The 20,195-nt window shown below is 54.0% G+C and overlaps 1 protein-coding gene across 3 annotated transcripts in view, besides 2 other annotated features; it reads right to left on the bottom strand.

Annotated features, from left to right (window-relative positions):
* The window catches only part of TJP3 (tight junction protein 3), a 42,430-nt gene that overhangs the window by 18,689 nt on the left and 3,546 nt on the right, over nt 1-20,195 (bottom strand). Inside the window, exons 1-6 of one of the 3 annotated variants that reach the window (XM_047438611.1) lie at nt 10,757-11,387; nt 3,645-3,701; nt 3,412-3,521; nt 1,995-2,097; nt 1,419-1,770; nt 87-190 (exon numbers count right to left, since the gene is read on the bottom strand). In XM_047438611.1, the coding sequence (XP_047294567.1) occupies nt 87-190; nt 1,419-1,770; nt 1,995-2,097; nt 3,412-3,521; nt 3,645-3,701; nt 10,757-10,945 (915 nt within the window). In that variant the 5' untranslated portion in view covers nt 10,946-11,387. Of the gene's footprint in view, nt 1-86; nt 191-1,418; nt 1,771-1,994; nt 2,098-3,411; nt 3,522-3,644; nt 3,702-10,214; nt 10,389-10,756; nt 11,388-20,195 lie in introns of those variants that run through there. The other 2 variants (NM_001267561.2, NM_001267560.2) reach the window with 2 other exon arrangements.
* Nucleotides 18,575-19,074: an enhancer, noted in NCBI's record as "H3K4me1 hESC enhancer chr19:3713049-3713548 (GRCh37/hg19 assembly coordinates)". NCBI's record gives its function as "activates a minimal SCP1, AML or CMV promoter by ChIP-STARR-seq in naive H9 embryonic stem cells {active_cell/tissue: H9 hESC(naive)}" and the evidence as "EXISTENCE:reporter gene assay evidence [ECO:0000049][PMID:30033119]".
* Nucleotides 19,075-19,576: an enhancer, noted in NCBI's record as "H3K4me1 hESC enhancer chr19:3712547-3713048 (GRCh37/hg19 assembly coordinates)". NCBI's record gives its function as "activates a minimal SCP1, AML or CMV promoter by ChIP-STARR-seq in naive H9 embryonic stem cells {active_cell/tissue: H9 hESC(naive)}" and the evidence as "EXISTENCE:reporter gene assay evidence [ECO:0000049][PMID:30033119]".

Genomic DNA, 20,195 nt, shown 5'->3' with positions numbered 1-20,195 from the left:
GCTGTCCTTGCTGTATGACTCCGTGGGACTGCCCGCCCCAACCCTGCCTTGTCTCCCTGCTCTCAGGACAAGAAGCCCGGCCTCACCTGTAGAATGAGATCTCCTTCCTGCAGCCCACGGTGCCGGGCAGCCAGGCCCGAATCTGTAATGTGCTTGATGAAGATCTGACTGCCCAGCTTGACGCCAAACTCTGTAAGGGGGGAGGAGGGAAACTGAGGCAGGACTCTGGAGACGGGTGCCTGGGAGCATTCTCCTGCTGTAAGCAGTCCAGGTGCGGGCCCTCCCATCCTAACACCTTGATGGCATCATAAGGAGAACAGTGATGTCGCCCGTAGGACCCGAGATCTGATTGTGTCAATGACATCTCCACGGGGCGGGGACACCAGGTCACCGTGCCACTCGTGATGTTGCCATGCACAGGCTAAGGGCATTCTATTGCTCATAACATCATCATTGTTTCAATTTTTATTTTTTATTTTTTAATTTTTTTCGAGAAGGAGTCTCACTCCTATCGCCGGGGCTGGAGTGCAGTGGCAAAATCTCAGGTCACTGCAACCTCTACCTCCCGGGTTTAAGCAATTCTCGTGCCTCAGCCTCCCAGGTAGCTGGGATTACAGGTGCACACCACCACGCCTGGCTAATTTTTGTATTTCTAGTAGAGATGGGGTTTCATCATAGTGGTCAGGCTGGTCTAGAACTACTGGCCTCAAGTGATCTGCCTGCCTTGGCCTCCCAAAGTGCTGGGATTACAGGCATCAGCCACCACACTCAGCCAGGCCTCCTCTTATAAGGACCCTGTGGTGACACTGGGCCCCCCAGATCATCCAGGATCACCTCTGAGCTCAGGGTCCTTCACTCCATCCCATCTGCTGAGTCCCTCTTGCTAAGTGAGGTGGCCTAAACAGAGGTCCCGGGGATCAGCGCGGGGACATGTTGATAAAATGGTTCTGGGCCCCAAGTGGCTGACAGGTGATATGGCTCAACCTAGCCCAGAATTAGGGACCACCAGGTTCAGAGAGAAAGAGCTAGAGAGAATATATGAAATACAGACAGGCAGAAAGGGACAGAAAAGCAGAAAGTGGGGATTTGTGGTGGGGGGAGCGAGGAGCAAGAAGATGCCAGGTGTAGTTGTAGCTTCCAGGCTGGGCGCGGTGGCTCACGCCCACAATCCCAGCAAGCACTATGGGAGGCCGAGGTGGGTGAATCACCTGAGGTCAAGAATTCGAAACCATCCTTGCCAACATGGTGAAGCCCCATCTCTACCAAAAGTACAAAAATTAGCCAGGCATGGTGGCGGGCGCCTGGAGTCCCAGCCACCAGGGAGGCTGAGGCAGGAGAATCACTTGAAACCGTCGCCCATCCGACCACGGTGCCCTGTGTCCAGTACTGATCGTGTCCGACCTCCCGCCTCTTCTGACCTTCGCTGTCTCTCCTCTTCACCAGCACTGACTTCACAGGCTTCATCTGCACGTCCTGCCGTGGCAGCCGCTTAAAGCCGGACACCAGGGCCAGCCCGTTGGCCTCAGAGCCACCACCTGGGCTCCTACGCCCATGGCTGCCGGCCCGGCCCCGGCGACCAGGCCTCGGCCGGCGGGAGCGCTCGTCCCAGGAGCGGCCGGAGCCACTGGATGAGTCGCCGTCATAGCCCCGGCCCTGGTCCACCTCCTCCACCCGCTGGGGCCCATCGTCTTCATCCGAGTCCTGGCGCCCTGGGCTGGAGGGGCTGGCTTTGGTGGCGGGCAGGTGGATCCTCCGGGGACGTTTCACTGTCTGTTAGAGGAGGGGACAGGAAGGGTCAGCTACAGGCAAGGGCTGGGGGAGGCTCTGCTCAGCCCCCGGGTGGCCCTGGGGGACACCAGTCTCTCTCTGGGCCTCAATGTCCAAACTGTAAGATGAGAAGATGACTCCTTGCTCTCAGAAGCTTACAACCCCCACAGCGGCACGACCCAGGCTGGGGTCAGAGATGCTGGCCATGCCAGGGGCTGCCTACTCACGATGTTGGCCATCTTGGTGCAGGTCTTGAGTATCTGAATGGCAAACGCGGAGGTGGCATTCTCCATGGAAACCCCGTTCACCATGACGATGTGGTCGCCTGTCCTGAGAGAGGAGGGCGGGTCTTACGGAGGAGGCTTTGCAGGGGAGACCCTCGTAACAAGCCCTCCCTGGGGAGGGGGTGCCCCTGGAACCTCCAGATCTACAAGGCCTGGTTCTAATTCATTGGTGTCCCTAGGTTCACAAAGACATTTATCCTTCTGGGCCTCCGTTTTCTCACCTGTAAAATGGAGCCAATTGTAGAACCTACTATAATCATAGAGTGGAAGCTACATTTTTTTTTTTTTTTTTGAGACAGAGTCTCACTCTGTTGCCCAGGCTGGATTGCAGTAGCATGATCTCAACTCACTGCAACCTCCACCTCCTCGTTTCAAACGATCCTTCTGCCTCAGCCTCCCTAGTAGCTGGGACTACAGGTGCCCGCCACCACACCCGTCTAATTTTTGTATTTGTTAGTAGAGATGGGGTTTCACCATGTTGGCCAGGCTGGTTTTGAACTCCTGACCTCAGGTAATCCGCCCACCTCGGCCTCCCAAAGTGCTGGGATTGCAGGTGTGAGCCACTGCACCCGGCCTTGAAGCTACAGCTACACCTGGCATCTTCTCACTCCTCGCTCCCCACACCACAAATCCCCACTTTCTGCTTTTCTTTCCCTCTCTTCCTGTCTGTATTTCATATTTTCTTTCTAGCTCTTTCTCTCTGAACCTGGTGGTCCCTAATTCTGGGCTGGGCTGAGCCATATCACCTGTCAGCCACTTGGGGCCCAGAACCATTTTAACAACATAATTCCAAGAAGCATCAAACCCTCAAACACTCGATGGTTTCCAGGACTTTATGTTCCAAAAGGGCTCTGGGGCCACTATGACCCCAAGAATTCCTGTGAAGGACCAGGAAGTACCTTAGGGAAGTGAGGCCCAAGTCTCTGACACTGTCCTACTGCCAAGTCCGAGCCCTGTGTTGACAGAGCTGGAAAGTGCCAGGCTCACAAAGGTTTCTCCTCACCTCACTTACTTTCTTTTTGAGACAGAGTCTCACTCTGTCACCCAGGCTGGAGTGCAGTGGCGCAATCTTGGCTCACCGCAACCTCTGCCTCCCGGGTTCAAGCAAGTCTCCTGCCTCAGCCTCCCGAGTAGCTGGGATTACAGGAACACGCTACCACATCCCGCTAATTTTTGTAATTTTAGTAGAGACGGGGTTTCACCATGTTGGCCAGGCTGGTCTCAAACTCCTGAACTCAGGTGATCCGCCCACTTCAGCCTCGCAAAGTGCTGGGATGACGGGTGTGAGTCACTGTGCCTGGCCTGGTTTCTCCTCTCCACGTGCCCTCCCCCGCCAGAACCCAGCTGCCTGGATACTCACTGTAGCCTGCCCTCCGCCGGCCCTCCAGGTACCACGTCAGATACAACCATGGATCCACCGGGCCGGTCTCGGCCTCCAGAGATCGCAATGCCAAAGCCCCGGCGGGGGTCCTGAGAGAGGATGAGGGGAAGGAAGAGCTGCTGTTTCCCCCAGGGTAAAGGGTCTCCCCTCTATTGAGCTGGGCCTAAGCCGCCATACTCTCTGGCACCCAGACAGGGAGAGGGAGGCCTCACCTTGGACAGTGTGGCCGTGTGCTGTTCCCAGATGGTCAGCTCCTCCATGTCAGCCACCTGGTCGAGGGGAGCGGGGAAGATGGGCATGAGGCCACACAGGTTCATCTGAGCACTTGGGGGTCCCCAGCTCAGGGTGGGGAGTCCAGCTCTGACAGGCCTGTGTTTGGAGCCTGTGACAAGTTACTACCTCTCTCAGGGCCTCAGGTTTTTTTGTTTGTTTTTTTGTTTTGTTTCATTTTTTGAGACAGAGTCTGGCTCTGTCGCCCAGGCTGGAGTGCAGTGGCACGATCTCAGCTCACTGCAACCTCCACCTCCCGGGTTCAAGCGATTCTCCTGCCTCAGCCTCCCAGGTAGCTGGGATTACAGGGGTGCACCACCACACCTGGCTAATCTTTATATTTTTAATAGAGATAGGGTTTCACCACATTGGCCAGACTGGCCTTTAACTTCTGGCCTCAAGTGATCCACCCACCTCGGCCTCCCAAAGTGCTGGGATTACAGGGGTGAGTCACTGTGCCCAGCCTTGTTTTGTTTTTTTTGAGGCGGAGTCTCATTCTGTTGCCCAGGCTGGAGTGCAGTGGCACAATCTCTGCTCACTGCAGTCTCTGCCTCCCAAGTTCAAGTGATTCTCCTGCCTCAGCCTCCTGAGTAGCTGGCTGCCTACTGGCCTCCTGAGTAGCTGGGCTCCTGAGTAGCTGGGCACCTACAGGTGCCCACCACCACGCCAGGCTAATTTTTCTATTTTTAGTAGAGACGGGATTTCACCATGTTGGCCAGGCTGGTCTCAAACTCCTGACCTCAACTGATCCACCCACAGAGGGCAGAGATTTTTGTCTTTGTCCAAAACTGAGCCCTCAGTTCCCTGCCTAGAACAGCGCCTGAGTTGCAGCAGGGATTCAAGAAGGATTTGCTGAATGAATTAATGAGTGAATGAATGAAACACTTCCTTTGTGCCAGGTGCTTTACATGTACTATCTCTTTTTTTTTTTTTTTTTTTGAGACAGAGTTTCGCTCTTGTTGCCCAGGCTGGAGTGCAATGGCGTGATCTTGGCTCACTGCAACCTCCGCCTTCCAGGTTCAAGTGATTCTCCTGCCTCAGCATCCCAAGTATCTGGGACTACAGGCATGTGCCACCATGCCCAGCTAATTTTTTTGAATTTTTAGTAGAGACGGGGTTTCACTATGTTGGCCAGGCTGGTCTCGAACTCCTGATCTTGTGATCCACCCCCTTGGCCTTCCAAAGTGCTGGGATTACAGGCATGAGCCACCGCGCCCAGCCTTACATGTACTATCTCATTTAATACATTCATCAAAGGTGCATTCAATTATCCCCATGTTACAGATGAGGAAACTGAGGCACAGAGCCATGAAGTCCCCCCTCCCACACTTTTTTTTTTTTAGACAGGGTCTCTGTCACTCAGGCTGGAGTGCAGTGGTGTGATCACGGTTCAATGCAGCCTCGAACTCCCAGGCTCAAGTGATCCTCCCACCTCTGCCTCCCAAGTAACTGGGACCACAGGCACACATCACGATGCCCGGCTAATTTTTTTTATTGTTTGTAGAGATGGAGTCTCTCTGTGTTGCCAAGGCTGGTCTCAAACTCCTAGGCTCAAGTGATTCTCCAGCCTTGGCCTCCCAAAGTGCTGGGATTACAAGTGTGAGCCATTATGGCTCACTGCAGCCTCGAACTCCTGGCTTCAAGCAATCCTCCTGCCCCAGCCTCCTGAGTAACTGGGACTATAGGTGCATACCATCATGCCCAGCTAATTTTTTAACTTCTATTTTTATAGAGACAGGAGGGTCTTGCTGTGTTGCCCAGACTCTTCTTGAACTCCTGGGCTCAAATGATCCTCCCACCTGGGCTTTCCCACTTAGAAAAAAAAAAAACAAAAAAAACTCTGTTGCTGAGGCTGGAGTGCAATGGTGCCAACTTGGCTCACTGCAACCTCTGCCTCCTAGTTTCAAGCGATTCTCCTGCCTCAGCCTCCCAAGTAGCTGGGATCACAGGTGTCTACCACCATGCCCAGCTAATTTTTGTATTTTTAATAGAGACGGGGGTCTCACCATGTTGGCCAGGCTGATCTTGAACTCCTGACTTCAAGTGATCCGCCCGCCTTGGCCTCCCAAAGTGCTGGGATTACAGGCGTGAGCCTCCACACCAGGCAGATTCTGTTATTTTCATGTCCATGGCATGAATGAGAACACCAGACTCAGGTGCAAGGTCACCTGGCCACGCCTCCACCCTCCCTTCCCTCCTGCCAGCACGCACCATGCCCTGCTCCCCAGGCAGGGGACAGGTGGAGGGAGTGGGGAGGGAGTTTGTAGAAGTGACTCCTCCTCCTCCCCGGGGCGGGTTTTCTAGGCTTGGCACAGCGGGTGTGTGATTCCCTCTGCCCAGGCACCCCCCATTGGTGCGCTCCAGTGCCTTTTCTTATAAGCTCCAGCGTCTCTAGCGAGGCCAGCATTCCTGATCTCCAGGAGTGGGAAGGCGGGTGGAGGGGAGAGAAACAGAGCAGAGGGCAGGGCTCTGCAGTTCTGAAGGAGCCAGGGCAGCGCTCAGGACTGGACTCAAATCCCAAGTCTGCCCACCCGTGCTAGCTATGGCGGGGCCTCTCCCAGCCTCAGTCTCCCCATCTGTGAAATGGCACTGCTGCCCTGTCTTGCAGGGATGTGGTTTGGGAAAAGGGTACAGATTCAATGCCTGAAAAGCAAAAAGCAGAAGGAGCCTTGGGGAGGTGGTGGCCAAATAATGACTTTCTCCTTGTGTAGTTTTTTTTTTTTTTTTTGAGATGGGGTTTTTTGCTCTTGTTGCCCAGGCTGGAGTGCAATGGCGTAGTCTCGGCTCACTGCAACCTCCACCTCCTGGGTTCAAGTTATTCTCCTGACTCAGCCTCCCGAGTAGCTGGGATTATAGGCACCCACAACCACAGCCAGCTACTTTTTGTATTTTTAGTAGAGACGGGGTTTCACCATGTTGGTCAGGCTGTCTTGAACCTGGCTGCAAGCAGGCGCTTGATGTGGACCCATTCATTTCATCCTCAGAGTGACCTTAGGAAGTGGCACAGTTATTATTCCTACTTTAGAGGTGAGATTAAAAGGGGCCTAGAGAGGTTCAGTAACTTGCCTGAGGTCACGCAGCACAGTGGTGAACTTGGCAGCCTGCCCTGTTCTCTGGCTCTTTTTTGGTTGGTTGGTTGGTTGATTGGTTGTTTGGTTTTTGAGACGGGGTTTCACTCTGTTGCCCAGGCTGGAGTGCAGTGGCTCAATCACAGCTCACTGCAGCCTTGAACTCCCAGGCCCAAGGGATCCTCCTGCTTCAGCCTCCCAGGTAGCTGGGACCACAGGCATGCACCACCACACACAGCATATTTTTTTGTTTTTTTGTAGAGATGGGGTTTTGCTATGTTGACCAAGCTGGTCTCAAATTCCTGGGCCCAAGCGATCCTCCCACCTCAGCCTCCTAAAGTGTTGGAATTACAGGCGTGAGCCACCGCACCCAGCCTCACTCTTGCTCTTAACCACCAGGCTACAGTGGCTTTCTGATTATTTACTCTTTTTCTTCTGAGCTTATTTTTCAAAACTGCATCTTTTTTTTTTTTAACCTGCTTTGATGTTATACTTTGTGTCATTAAATGGCCCCAGGGCCGGGCACGGTGGATTCTGCCTATAATCTCAGCACTTTGGGAGACCGAGGCAAGAGGATTGCTTGAGCCCAGGAGTTCAAGACCAACCTGAGCAACATAGTGAGACCCTCATCTCTACAAAAAAATACAAAAATTAGCCGGGCATGGTGGCATGCACCTGTGGTCCCAGCTCCTCGAGAGGCTGAGGCAGAAGGATCACCTGAGCCCAGGAGGTCGAGGCTGCAGTGAATTGTGATCGTGCCTCTGCACTCCAGCCTGGGCGACAGAGCAAGACCCTGTCTCAAAAAAAATTTTTAAATGGCCCCAAGGAATTTGTATTTCCTGACTTTAAGAGACAGCCCTGCCCGGGCACAGTGGCTCATGCCTGTAATCCCAGCACTTTGGGAGGCTGAGGCAGGCAGACCACAAGGTCAGGAGATCGAGACTATCCTGGCTAACATGGTGAAACCCCGTCTCTACTAAAAATACAAAAAATTAGCAGGGCGTGGTGGCCGGCGCCTGTAGTCCCAGCTACTCAGGAGGCTGAGGCAGGAGAATGGCGTGAACCTGGGAGGCGGAGCTTGCAGTGAGCCAAGATTGTGCCACTGCACTCCAGCCTGGGCGACAGAGGGAAACTCCGTCTCAAAAAAAAAAAAGAGACAGCCCCAGGGAACCAGGGCCCCCGAACCCAGAGTGGGAGAGGGGCGAGGGAGTCCAGGTGGTCCAGGCTTGTCCCAGCTTGTGCGGGTTCGTCTCCATGGAAACCAGAAGCTTTGTCTAAACCCTCCAGAGCTCCACAGTGCCTGAGGGATTAAGCCTAACCTCACAGCCCACCTCATCTTAGTTCACCTCCAAACCTTTACCCCATCTGTCCCCTGAATCTGGGACATGTTTCACGGGATTCCTGCCTGGCTGGCCCCTGCCACTGAGGTCTAGGCTCAAATGCCACCTCCTCAGGAAGTCCTCCCTGACCACCTAGCTAACCAGTCTTCTCTGATCCCCTATCACTCCTGCCTATTTTATTATTTTATATATATATATATATATATTTTTTTTTTTTCTTTTGAGACAGAGTGTCACTCTGTCACCCAGGCTGGAGTGTAGTGACACAATCTCAGCTCACTGCAACCTCCGCCTCCTGGGTTCCAGCAATTCTCGTGCCTCAGCCTCCCAAGTAGCTAGAATTACAGGCGTCCAACCACCACGCCCGGCTAATTTTTGTATTTTTAGTAGAGGTGGGGGTTCACCATGTTGGCCAGGCTGGGCTCAAACTGCTGACCTCAGGTGATCCACCTCCCTCAGCCTCCCAAAGTGCTGGGATTACAGGAGTGAGCCACCACGCCCAGCCTGTTTTATTATTTTTTATTCAAGGCATCTAAAAATCATCTTTATTCTCTTTAACCATCGGTTAGTATGTTTCTGGTCTTTCCTCTTAGGCTGTGAAAGGAGACATGTCTGTCTCTCTGGCTACTTAAGGCCCAGGTGATTGGCCATCAGCCTCCTTTCCAGGCCTTGAGTGCTGGTACTGGACTCCCTGGCAAACTCCTATTCATCCTTCACAGCCCCAGCCTCTTCCTCCGTACGCATATCATACATCCTTCCCTCTGGCCCAAATGTGATGATTGGGGTGTGGGATGTCAGAGTGGATTTGTCCACCTTACACCTTCCCCCTCAGTCTGAGCGCTCCCGATGGGCAGGGATGGGCCCCTGGGACCCCATAGGACCAGGCCCCCTTAGGGAAGAGTTTGAGGAATGAGTGAATGGTTGAGTAAAACACACTGTGGCCAGGTGCTCAACAGGTGTGTCCTGAGTTCCCAGCCCTGCCCCTGTCCAGGTGAACTCTGAGAGGGTGGGGCTTGGGTCTTTGTCCCCGCCCCCCGCCCAGGGCTGGACACAAACACCGAACAAGAGGCCCGCCCAGAGGGGACGGGGCCGGTACCAAGTCACACCGCCCCCGGGTACGGGGCTCCCGGGCCGCCGTCCCCTGTGCCCCCCCCCCCCGCCACCCCATCTCCAGGAACAATGGCAGAGAGGGCGGTTTCAGCGAACAAATACACCGATTGGGGAGGGGATTCTGAGAGCTGTGCCTGGAGGCAAGGAAGAAGTCAGCGGGAACCAGAAGTGCCGGGTCCTGAAGCTTGGGGCGGAGTGGCCTGGGTCTGGCCGCATACCGCTGCAGTCCCAGTCTACCCTGGCTGGTGGGTCTGAAGAAACCAGCCCAGGCTCCATGCCTGGAGGGTGAAATCCCTCCGGAGACAAGGATCGCCCCCCGCCCCGCCCCCGCCACGGCGCACCCCAGCCGGCTTGCTCACCCCACCCCTGCCTCTGCCTGGTAATGCCTGTTAATAGCTTTGTACACAGTAGGCACCCAATAAATGCTGGTGCTCCCTCGTGCAGCCTTGTAGGAGGTGAATGTTCACCAAAGCCACCCCAGCCCCCAAATGAAGTCACTGCCCACCGTGCCACCGCGGGCGCCCAAGCTCAGCCGGCTGCACGCCCCCAGCAAAGGGGGATGAACATCTTTTCTGCCCACCTACGATGCGCCAAGCTCTTAAAACACATTTTTCTCTCTGTTTAAAATGCCGATCACCCATTTTTCGGATGAGGGAAGGAGAGGGTTCACTCACTGGCCCCACGTTACACACAGCATAGTGGACAGAAAATTCGGGATTTGAACCCAGCCCTGCGGTATTAAAGGAGGCCGGTCCTGGGGCAGAGGAGGCTCCAGAAGAGATGGTCTTTGGAGGCAGGGAGGGGGGCGCGGACGCGCGGACGCATCTCGAAGTGCAACCTCCAGCTAGCCACTTCATCCCTCTGGGACTCAGTTTCCCTGCCTGTTATGTAGGTAGGCGTTCTGGGGTCCTGGGTCCGACTCCCAAACCCTGCTTTCCCCCCACCCCACCTCAGCCCGAGCCCCTCCCCCTGCCACCCTTGGAGGGTTACTCGCCTGGAATCTCACCGCCATGGTCCACCTGGGGGCTCTCCAGCCCCCCTACCCGAGGGGGTCCTGGAAACAGTCAATCGGCCCCCACCCCGGGCTGGGGGAGGGGGCTGAGGAGAGTCACAGCGGGCTGAGGGCCGGGCTCTCGTCCTCCTCCCTCCAGCTCCGCAGCTCCCGGCTGCACCTGCCCCTCTTCCTCCTCCAGGTCTCGGGTCAGCCCCGCCCCTGCCCAGACACGCCCCCTGGACGCGGCGGAGGTTTCTCTCCCCACCTCCCATCACAGGAGCCAGGTCCTGAGGCGGAAACTCCAGGCCGGGTTATCCACGCAGCCGAGAGGGGGCCGGCGGCCGCGGCCAGAGCCCGGCCCGACAAGGCTGCCAGCAAGACCCGGCAGGAATAACCCCCGCGCTTGGAACGGAGCCTACTATTTGGAAGGTGTTTCCGTCCGCGAAATGGGCACATTTTGAGGTGCATCTGGGAGGCCTCTTGGATTAGAAGCTTGTCGAAGGCCAGAGACCTCCTTAGCATAGCGCTGGTCCCTGGGTCACCTTATCTCTGGAAGGTTTGCCCCATTCCACAGAGGGGAACCGGAGGCCCCAGAGGCCAGAGGCGTGGACTCTGAAGATACAACAGCGGCTGCGTGCCTTTTTCCTGCGGTCTTGGCCTGCGGGCTCTGTCTTCACACCCAGCATCCAGAAAAGAAAGGGGGCAGGGCAGGGCCGGGCGCGGTGGCTCATGCCTGTAATCCCCAAATTTTGGGAGGCCGAGGCGAGCGGATCACGAGGTCAGCAGTTCGAGACCAGCCTGACCAACATGGTGAAACGTCTGTCTCTACTAAAAGTACAAAAATTAGCCGGGCGTGGTGGCGCATGCTTCAGCTACTCGGGAGGCTGAGGAAGGAGAATCGGTTGAACCCGGGAGGCGGAGGTTGCGGTGAGCTGATATCACGCCACTGCACTCCAGTCTGGGCGACAGAGTAGAGTGAGACCCTGTCTCAAAAAAAAAAAAAAAAAAAGAAAAGGAAGGAAGGAAAGAAGGGAAGGAAGGAAGGAACGAAGGAAAAGAAAGGGGCAGAGTGCAAGGCAGGAGGAAATTCTTCAGGCTCTGGGAGGGAGTAAAGGTCGTTTCCTTCTTCTCACCCAGCCCAGCCCAGCCTCCCGCTCAGGGGCCTGGGATTCCGGGATTCCTAAGGTTAGACCTAGGAGGGACTGGACCAGGGTAGGAAACCTTCAAGTCACCTGGGTGGGCGGGGCTGGTCGTGGCTGCACCCCCACATTCCTTACTATAAAAAAAAAAACCTGCGCCCAGCTGTGCCTGGGCCCCACCCCAAGGTTAAAAGGGTAAAAGGGCAAAGCTACACATAAACACCCCTTCCCAGCCTTATCCAGTCAGGGCTGGGCAGGGACAGGAGTCCCAGGTTGTGGCTAGGGGTGAAGAGCATAGAGAAAACTCTAGCGGTAAAAGAAAGGCTGCCTGGAGGAGGGGGCATCGTAGCTGGGGATTTGAAGGTTGGTTAAGAGTTTGCTTAGTAAACAAGGCCAACAATATCAAAGTCTTAGAGGGTCCCCGAAGATGACATCTCACCTCCTCCACTGCAATTGTACCCAAAACACTAGTCCAGAGACCCAAGTCAGCTACAGTCAGCCCCTCAAGGGTCTCCAAGGGCCCGAATAAAGCATTGCCAAAGCCTCTTGTGGGGACCCACTTGGAACTTCAGAGCTAGGAGAGTTCTAAAACCAGCTCTCACCTATTTGCTGTGTGACCTCAGACAACTTACTGCCCCTCTCTGTTCCTCAGTTTCCACATCTGTAATTGGGGAAAATAATAGCCCCTACATCACAGGGTTGTCAGGAGGATTAAAAGGGGCGTAGAGGCCAGGCACAATGGCTCACTCCTGTAATTCCAGAACTTTGAAGAGTCAGGTGGGAGGATCACTTGAGGCCAGGAGTTTGAGACCAGGCTGGGCAATATAGCGAGACCCAATCTCCATACAAAATAAATAAAAAGGAGCATGTAGTTCTCTTCCCTTTTGCGGCCATCACAGAAGTGGGAGCAGCCAAAATGAAGTTCAATCCCTTTGTGACTTCCGACCGAAGCAAGAATTGTAGAAGGCATTTCAACGCACCTTCTCACATCGCATGAAGGTTATATGTCTTCCCTTCTTTTTTTTTTTTTTTTTTTTTTGAGACGGAGTCTCGCTCTGTCGCCCAGCTGGACTGCAGGCACGATCTCGGCTCACTGCAAGCTCCGCCTCCCGGGTTCCCGTCATTCTCCTGCCTCAGCCTCCCGAGTAGCTGGGACTACAGGCACCCGCCACCACGCCTGGCTAATTTTTGTATTTTTAGTAGAGATGGGGTTTCCCCATGTTGGCCAGGCTGGTCTCGAACTCCTGGCCTCAAGTGATTAGCCCACCTCGGCCACCCAAAATGTTAGGATTATGGGCATGAGCCACTACTCCCAGCCACACACACACACATATTTTATAGATGAAGGTTCAGAAAGGGCCCCAGACTCACTGAAGGTTGCACAGCATGGGTTCCTGGAGCCCCAAACTCTTTCCAAGACCCCATGCTGAGCCAATGTAGAAACACCATTAACCAAAACTAAGGCTTACTGAACACCTACTGTATACCTACAGGCAACTCAGCCCTTCCCTGTGTGACACTCCGCCACCAGCAGGTGGCGCAAAAAATCATTTTAGATGATTAAGGTCCAGCGATGTCCACCACCCCCCAAGACGGACACTCATTCTGTCACCCAGGTTGGAGTGCCGGGCGCAGTCTCGGCTCACTGCAAGCTCCGCCTGCGGGGTTCACACCATTCTCATGCCTCAGCCTCCTGAGTAGCTGGGACTACAGGCGCCGGCCACCACGCGTGGCTAATTTTTGTATTTTTAGTAGAGACGGGGTTTCACCATGTTGGCCAGGCTGGTCTCGAACTCCTGACCTCAGGTGATCCACCCACCTCGGCCTCTGAAAGTGTTGGGATTACAGGCGTGAGCCACCACGCCCGGCCAGTCCAGCGATCTTTAAATAGCCGTGTATTTGTTTTAATGAGTCGTGAGAAAAACACATCATTCCCTACCGGCCCGCACACGTCAAGGTTCGTGGCTGCCATTGCTCAAAGCAGTCTCTGCTTAGGTCTGGCAAAATCGGACAGGGGTTCTGCAGGGGACTGGAGCTGGTAGAAAATCCTGCATTCGGGCAGATCACCTGAGGTCAGGAGTTCGAGACCAGCCTGGCCAACATTGTGAAACCCTGTCTCTACTGAAAATACAAAAATTAGCTGGGCGTGGTGGCGCACGTCTGTAGTCCCAGCTACTAGGGAGGCTGAGGCAGGAGAATTACTTAAACCTGGGAGGCAGAGGTTGCAGTCAGCCAAGATTGCGCCACTGCACTCCAGCCTGGGCCACAGAGTGAGGCCCTGTCCACCCCGCCCCCCACCACCCCAAAAAAAAAAAACCGCAAGAAAAGAAAATGCTGCATTCCTGTCCTACAGGCTTTCTGACTTCAGCGTCTTTAAAATAAGAGGCTTGGCCAGGAACAGTGGCTCACGCTTGTAGTCCCAGCACTTTGGAAGGCCGAGGCGGGAGGATCTCTTGAGGCCAGGAGAGACCAGCCTGAGTAACAGAGTGAGACTTCCATCTCTACACACACACAGACACACACACACACACACACACACACACACACACACACACACACTTTTTTTTTTTTTTTTTTTTTGAGTTGGAGTCTCGCCCTGTTGCCCAGGCGCAATCTCAGCTCACTGCAAGCTCTGCTTCCCGGGTTCACGCCATTCTCCTGCCTCAGCCTCCCGAGTAGCTGGGACTACAGGCACATGCCCGGCTGATTTTTGTACTTTTAGTAGAGATGGGGTTTCACCGTGTTAGCCAGGATGGTCTCAAACTCCTGACCTTGTGATCCGCCCCCCTCGGCCTCCCTAAGTGCTGGGATTATAGGCGTGAGCCATCGTGCCCGGCCTTTTTTTTTTTTTTTAATTAGCCAGTCTTGGTGGCACTTGCCTGTACTCCCAGCTACTTGGGAAGCTGAGCTGGGAGGATTGCTTGAGCCCAGGCGGTGGAGGCTGCAGTAAGTCATGGTCACACCACTGTACTCTCATTCCTGGGCAACACAGTGAGACCCCCATCTCCACATCCACAAAAATTTTTAAAAATATCTTAGGCAGGGTGCAGTGGCTCATGCCTGTCATCCCAGCACTCTGGGAGGCCAAGGCAGGAGGATCACTTGAGTCAGGAGTTGGAGGCCAGCCTGGCCCACAGGGCAAAACCCATCTCTACAAAAATACGAAAAATTAGCCAAGGATGGTGGCAGGCGCCTGTAATCCCAGCTACTCAGGAGGCTGAGGCAAGAGAATCACTTGACCCTGGGAGGCGGCGGTTGCAGTGAGCTGAGATCACGCCACTGCACTCCAGCCTGGGTGACAGGGCAGACAGCACAACACTATGTTTCAAAAAAAAATAAAATTATATATATATATATATATATATAAGCTATGGCTGGGCACAGTGGCTCACGCCTGTAATCCCACTTTGGATGGCCAAGGCGGCCGAATCACTTGAGGTCAGGAGTTTGAGACCAGCCTGGCCAACATGGTGAAACTCTGTCTGTACTAAAAATATAACAGTCATGGGCCAGGCGTGGTGGCTCGTGCCTGTAATCCCAGCACTTTGGGAGGTCGAGGCGGGCGGATCACCTGAGGTTGGGAGTTCGAGACCAGCCTGACCAACATGGAGAAACCTCGTCTCTACTAAAAATACAAAATTAGCTGGGTGTGGTGGCACATGCCTGTAATCCCAGCTACTAGAGAGGCTGAGGCAAGAGAATTGCTTGAGCCCGGGAGGCGGAGGTTGCAGTGAGCCGAAATCGGGCCATTGCACTCCAGCCTGGGCAACAAGAGCGAAACTCCGTCTCAAAAAAAAAAAAAAAAGTCACCTGGGCGTGTTGGCACCCGCCTGTAATCCCAGGTACTCGGGAGGCTGAGGCAGGAGAATCACTTGAACCTGGGAGGCAGAGGGTGCAGTGAGCCGAGATCGTGCCACTGTCTCCAACCTGGGCGACAGACTGAGACTCTGTTTCAAAAAAAAAAAAAAAATATATATATATATATATATATGTATGAGCTGGGTGTGGTAGCAGGCACCTCTAGGCGCTGAAGTGGGAGGATCATTTGAGCCCAGGAGGTCGAGGCTGCAGTGATCCATGATCTTGCCCTTGCACTCCAGCCTGGGTGACAGAGCTAGACGCTGTCTCAAAAATAAATAAAGAAATAAGTGGGTTAAAGTCCTAGCAGTGAATGGGGCTCCCGGGCCATGTTTACTGGCATATGCTTGGCTGCAGCCCCAGTTACACACAACACTCGTGCGCCCACTTTGCAGCTGAGAAAACTGAGGCCAGATGGTGAGCTGGCCTGAGGGATTTGGCTGCAGCTCTGTTTGCCCCTGCACCTCGAACTCCAAGCCAGTGCCTCTCACCAGAGGGGGACCCTTGGCAACGTCTTGAGACATTTTGGTGTTCAATACCAGGCCGAGCGCGGTGACTCACACCTGTAATTCCAGCACTTTGAGAGGCTGAGATGGGCGGATCACTTGAGGTCAATAGTTCGAGAGCAGCCTGGCCAACAGGGTGAAACCCCGTCTCTACTCAAAATACAGAAATTAGCTGGGCGTAGTGACAGGCACCTGTAATCCCTGCTACTCGGGAGGCTGAGGCAGGAGAATCACTTGAACCCGGGAGGCAGAGGTCGCAGTGATCTGAGATGGCGCCACTGCACTCCAGCCTGGGCAATGGAGCAAGACTCCATCTCAAAAATAAAACAAGTCGGGCGTGGTGGCTCACGCCTGTAATCCCAGCACTTCGGGAGGCTGAGGTGGGTGGATCACGTGAGGTCAGGAGTTCGAGACCAGCCTGGCCAACATGGGGAAACCCCATCTCTACTAAAAATACAAAAATTAGCCGAGTGTGGTGGTGGGTGCCTGTAATCCCAGCTACTCGGGAGGCCGAGGCAGGAGAGTTGCTTGAACCCAGGAGGCAGAGGCTGTAGTGAGCCGAGATTGCGCCATTGCACTCCAGCCTGGATGACAAGAGCGAGACTCCAACTCAAAAAAATAAAATAAAATGAAACAATAAAAAAATAAACCTGGAAGGTTCTCCTGGCATGAGTGAGTGGAGGCCAGGGATACTGCTAAGCACCCTGCATTGCCCAGAATGGCCCCATCCCAGAGAAGGATCTGGCCCCAAATGTCAATGGGCAACGCAGAGAAATCCCACTGTCAACCCCTCTAAGAGAGGAAGCTGGATAACTGCACCAGGACACATTGTCTTCCTCCAACCACCCACCGTCTGCTCTCATATCCATGCCCTGCTCAAGAACACTCGATGGCTCCCTAGTACCATCCTCCAAACCTGGGTTCAAATCCAAGGCTTTGGAGATGGGCATAGCCTTAAGCCCCTTATTCCCACCACCCCTGACCTTCGGATCACCTTAATGAATTAAAAACCTGCTTTTGGCCGGGCGCGGTGGCTCACACCTGTAATCCCAGCACTTTGGGAGGCCGAGGCGGGCGGATCACGAGGTCAGGAGATCGAGACCATCCTGGATAACACGGTGAAACCCCATCTCTACTAAAAATACAAAAATATAGCTGGGTGTGGTGGCGGGCGCCTGTAGTCCCAGCTACTCGGGAGGCTGAGGCAGGAGAATGGCGTGAACCCGGGAGGCGGAGGTTGCAGTGAGCCGAGATTGCGCCACTGCGCTCCAGCCTGGGCGACAGAGCGAGACTCCATCTCAAAAAAAAAAAAAACCAACCAACCAAACAAACAAACAAAAAACCTGGTTTTCTACTGTTGCCTCACGAAGTAAAAATAATAATAGCAAAAAGAAAAGGAAAAAAAGAGAAAATCTGCTTTTCAGCAATCTACTTCATTTGTGCCTTAATTCTTCTGTGCATTCAGTCACTCAGTCAACAAAACTGTTGCAAGCCAAGTATATGACGTGTGATTGGGAACCAGCGTTCAGGGCCAGTGTGATCTGAGCAGGGTGAGGGACAGGAGGACCCAGGGAAGGTGGAGTTCTGGAGGCCTCCCTGGGATGAGCCAGCTCAACCCCTTCTGAGTGCTTGTGGGAAAACTGAGGCCCAGAGATAGCAGGGGCTGGGCTGAGGTCCCCCAGTGGATCAGGGCCAGGATGGTCTCGAACTCTGACCTCGTGATCCGCCCGCCTTGGCCTCCCAAAGTGCTGGGATTACAGGTGTGTGCCACTGCGCCTGGCCTAATTGTACTTTTTAGTTACATATGCGATTATTCAATTATTGTCTGTCTCCCCTAAAGACTGTGGGCTTCCACTGTGTCTGTCAATCAGTTCTTCTGCAGCCCCATCACTGTGTATGCAGTACGTGCTCAATAAATACTAAAAGAACGGGCTGGGCGCGGTGGCTCACATCTGTAATCCCAGCACTTTGGGAGGCCAACGCGGGTGGATCACGAGGTCGGGAGTTTGAGACCAGCCTGGCCAAGATGGTGAAACCCTGTCTCTACTAAAAATACTAAAATTAGCCAAGCGTAGTGGCACGTGCCTGTAATCCCAGCTACTCAGGGGGCTGAGGCAGGATCATGAGGTCAGGAGTTTGAGACCAACCAGGCCAAGATGATGAAACCCTGTCTCTACTAAAAATACAAAAATTAGCCGGGTGTGGCGGCGGGCTGCTGTAATCCCTGCTACTCAGGAGGCTGAGGCAGGAGAATCTCTTGAACCGGGAGGCAGAGGTTGCAGTGAGCCAAGATTGCGCCACTGCACTCCAGCCAGCCTGGGTGACAGAGAGAGACTCTGTCTCAAAACAACAACAAAGAAATTAAATAATAGTAATAATAATAGGCCGGGCGTGGTGGTTCACCCCTGTAATCCCAGCACTTTGGGAGGCCGAGACAGGTGGATCACGAGGTCAAGAGATGGAGACCATCCTGGCCAACACGGTGAAACTCCGTCTCTACTAAAAATACAAAAAAAAAAAAAAAATTAGCTGGGCATGTTGGCGGGCGCCTGTAGTCCCAGCTACTCGGGAGGCTGAGGCAGGAGAATCACTTCAACCTGGGAGGCGGAGGTTGCAGTGAGCCGAGATCGTGCCACTGCACTCCAGAGCCTGGGCGACAGAGCGAGACTCTGTCTCAAAAAAAGAAATAAATAAATAATAATAATAATTTTAAAGTTACAGAAAAGTAAATACACAGAGAATTCCTTTATACACCCAACTGATTTCCACTAACATTAACATTATTACACGGGTACATATGTCAAAACCAAGAAGTCAACATCAGTACAACCTTGTTCACTGAACTCCACACTTTATTCACGTCTCTCCGCAGGCCCTTTGCCGCCCCAGGGCCCCATCCAGGATCCCACCTGGTAGTTGGCTGTCACGTCTCCTTAGACACCGCTGGGCTGTGACCGATTCTGTCTTTCCTGTTCTGTGACCTGTTAGTCTGTGCTGGGCAGGTCTTTTGCAGAATAACTCTCAATGTGGGGACATTGGGGACCAGCTGTTTCCCTCATGACTAGACTGGCGTCATGGGTTTTGGGGGACCCTGGGAGGTTTTAAGGAAGCCGTGTGGAGAGGACGGGGCAGGAGCAGAGACAGAGAGCAGAGATGGAGGGCAGCCAGGTGGGAGGAGACGCCCCGGTCTGTGGGTTGCCAAGATCCAAACGACCTTTGAGGAAGGGCAGATTCTAGGTGTGGCCGGCTCAGCCCTAAGGCACTGGAGGGCTGAAGAACGTCTCAGGGTTTGGCGTCCTGGGGAGGCTGGAGGACCTCATGGGGGGCACTTTGAAGTAGGACTCATGGGGGGCACTTTGAAGTAGGAGGAGTGTGGAACCTGCTAGAAGCTTGGAGTATGGAATGCAGCTCAGGGTGTTCAACAGGGGACTTTCTTTTCTTTTCTTTTTTTTTTTTTTGAGACAGAGTCTTGCTCTGTCACCTAGGCTGGAGTGCAGTGGTGCAATCATAGCTCACTGCAGCCTCCACTTTCCTGGGCTCAAGCGATCCTCCCACCCCAGCCTCCTGTGTAGCTGGGGCCACAGGTGCACGCCACCCTGCCCAGCAGATTTTTGTATATTTTGTAGAGACGGTATCTCGCTATGTTGCCCGGACCTGTCTTGAACTGCTGGGCTCATGCGATCCTCCCACCTCGGCCTCCCAAAATGTTGGGATTCCAGGCGGGAGCCACCAAGCCATGCCAAAGATGCCATTTCCCCCAAAAGGGAGGACGGCTGAGCTCTAGAAGGAAGTTCCACAGCAGAGAGAGAAAAGCAGAGCCCATGTGAATTCCAGCCCCTGCCTCAGCTTCCTCATCTGTAAAACGGGGATCCCGGTTTTGACCCTGAGCAGTATTTCAGGGAAGGCTCAAAGGTTTAAGCATCTGCCACTAAGGATCCCCTGGGCTGCCTCTCCATGCTTCTAACTCCACTCGGGCCCCCAGTGGGAAAGCCAAAGGTGAATTACAGTGTCCCAGGGCTAGAGGGGGCCCCCTGCCCCATGGAAACCATCTACGCTAAGGTGCTGTCATTCTGGGCACGGAATGACATTTTTGAGATGGAGTCTTGCTCTGTCTCTGGGGCTGGAGTGCAGTGGTGCGATCCCGGCTCACTGCAACCTCTGCCTCCCAGGTTCAAGCAATTCTCCTGCCTCAGCCTCCCAAGTAGCTGGAATTATAGGCACACGCCAACACACCTGGCTAATTTTTGTATTTTTAGTAGAGACAGAGTTTCACCACGTTTGCCAGGCTGGTCTCAAACTCCTGGGCTCAAGTGACCCACCTGCCTTGGCCTCCCAAAATGCTGGGATTACAGGCGTGAGCCACCGTGTCTGGTCCAGAGGAGAACTGAAAGAACACACACACACAGGCAATCAAGAATGCTGAGGCCGGGTCGGTGGCTCTCGCTTGAAATCCCAGCACTTTGAGTGGCTGAGGCTGG

Source organism: Homo sapiens, chromosome 19 (assembly GCF_000001405.40).
Source record: "Homo sapiens chromosome 19, GRCh38.p14 Primary Assembly".
Lineage (NCBI taxonomy): Eukaryota > Metazoa > Chordata > Mammalia > Primates > Hominidae > Homo > Homo sapiens.
Note: the sequence above shows the minus strand (reverse complement) of the source record. Positions and strands in the feature narration are given on the sequence as shown.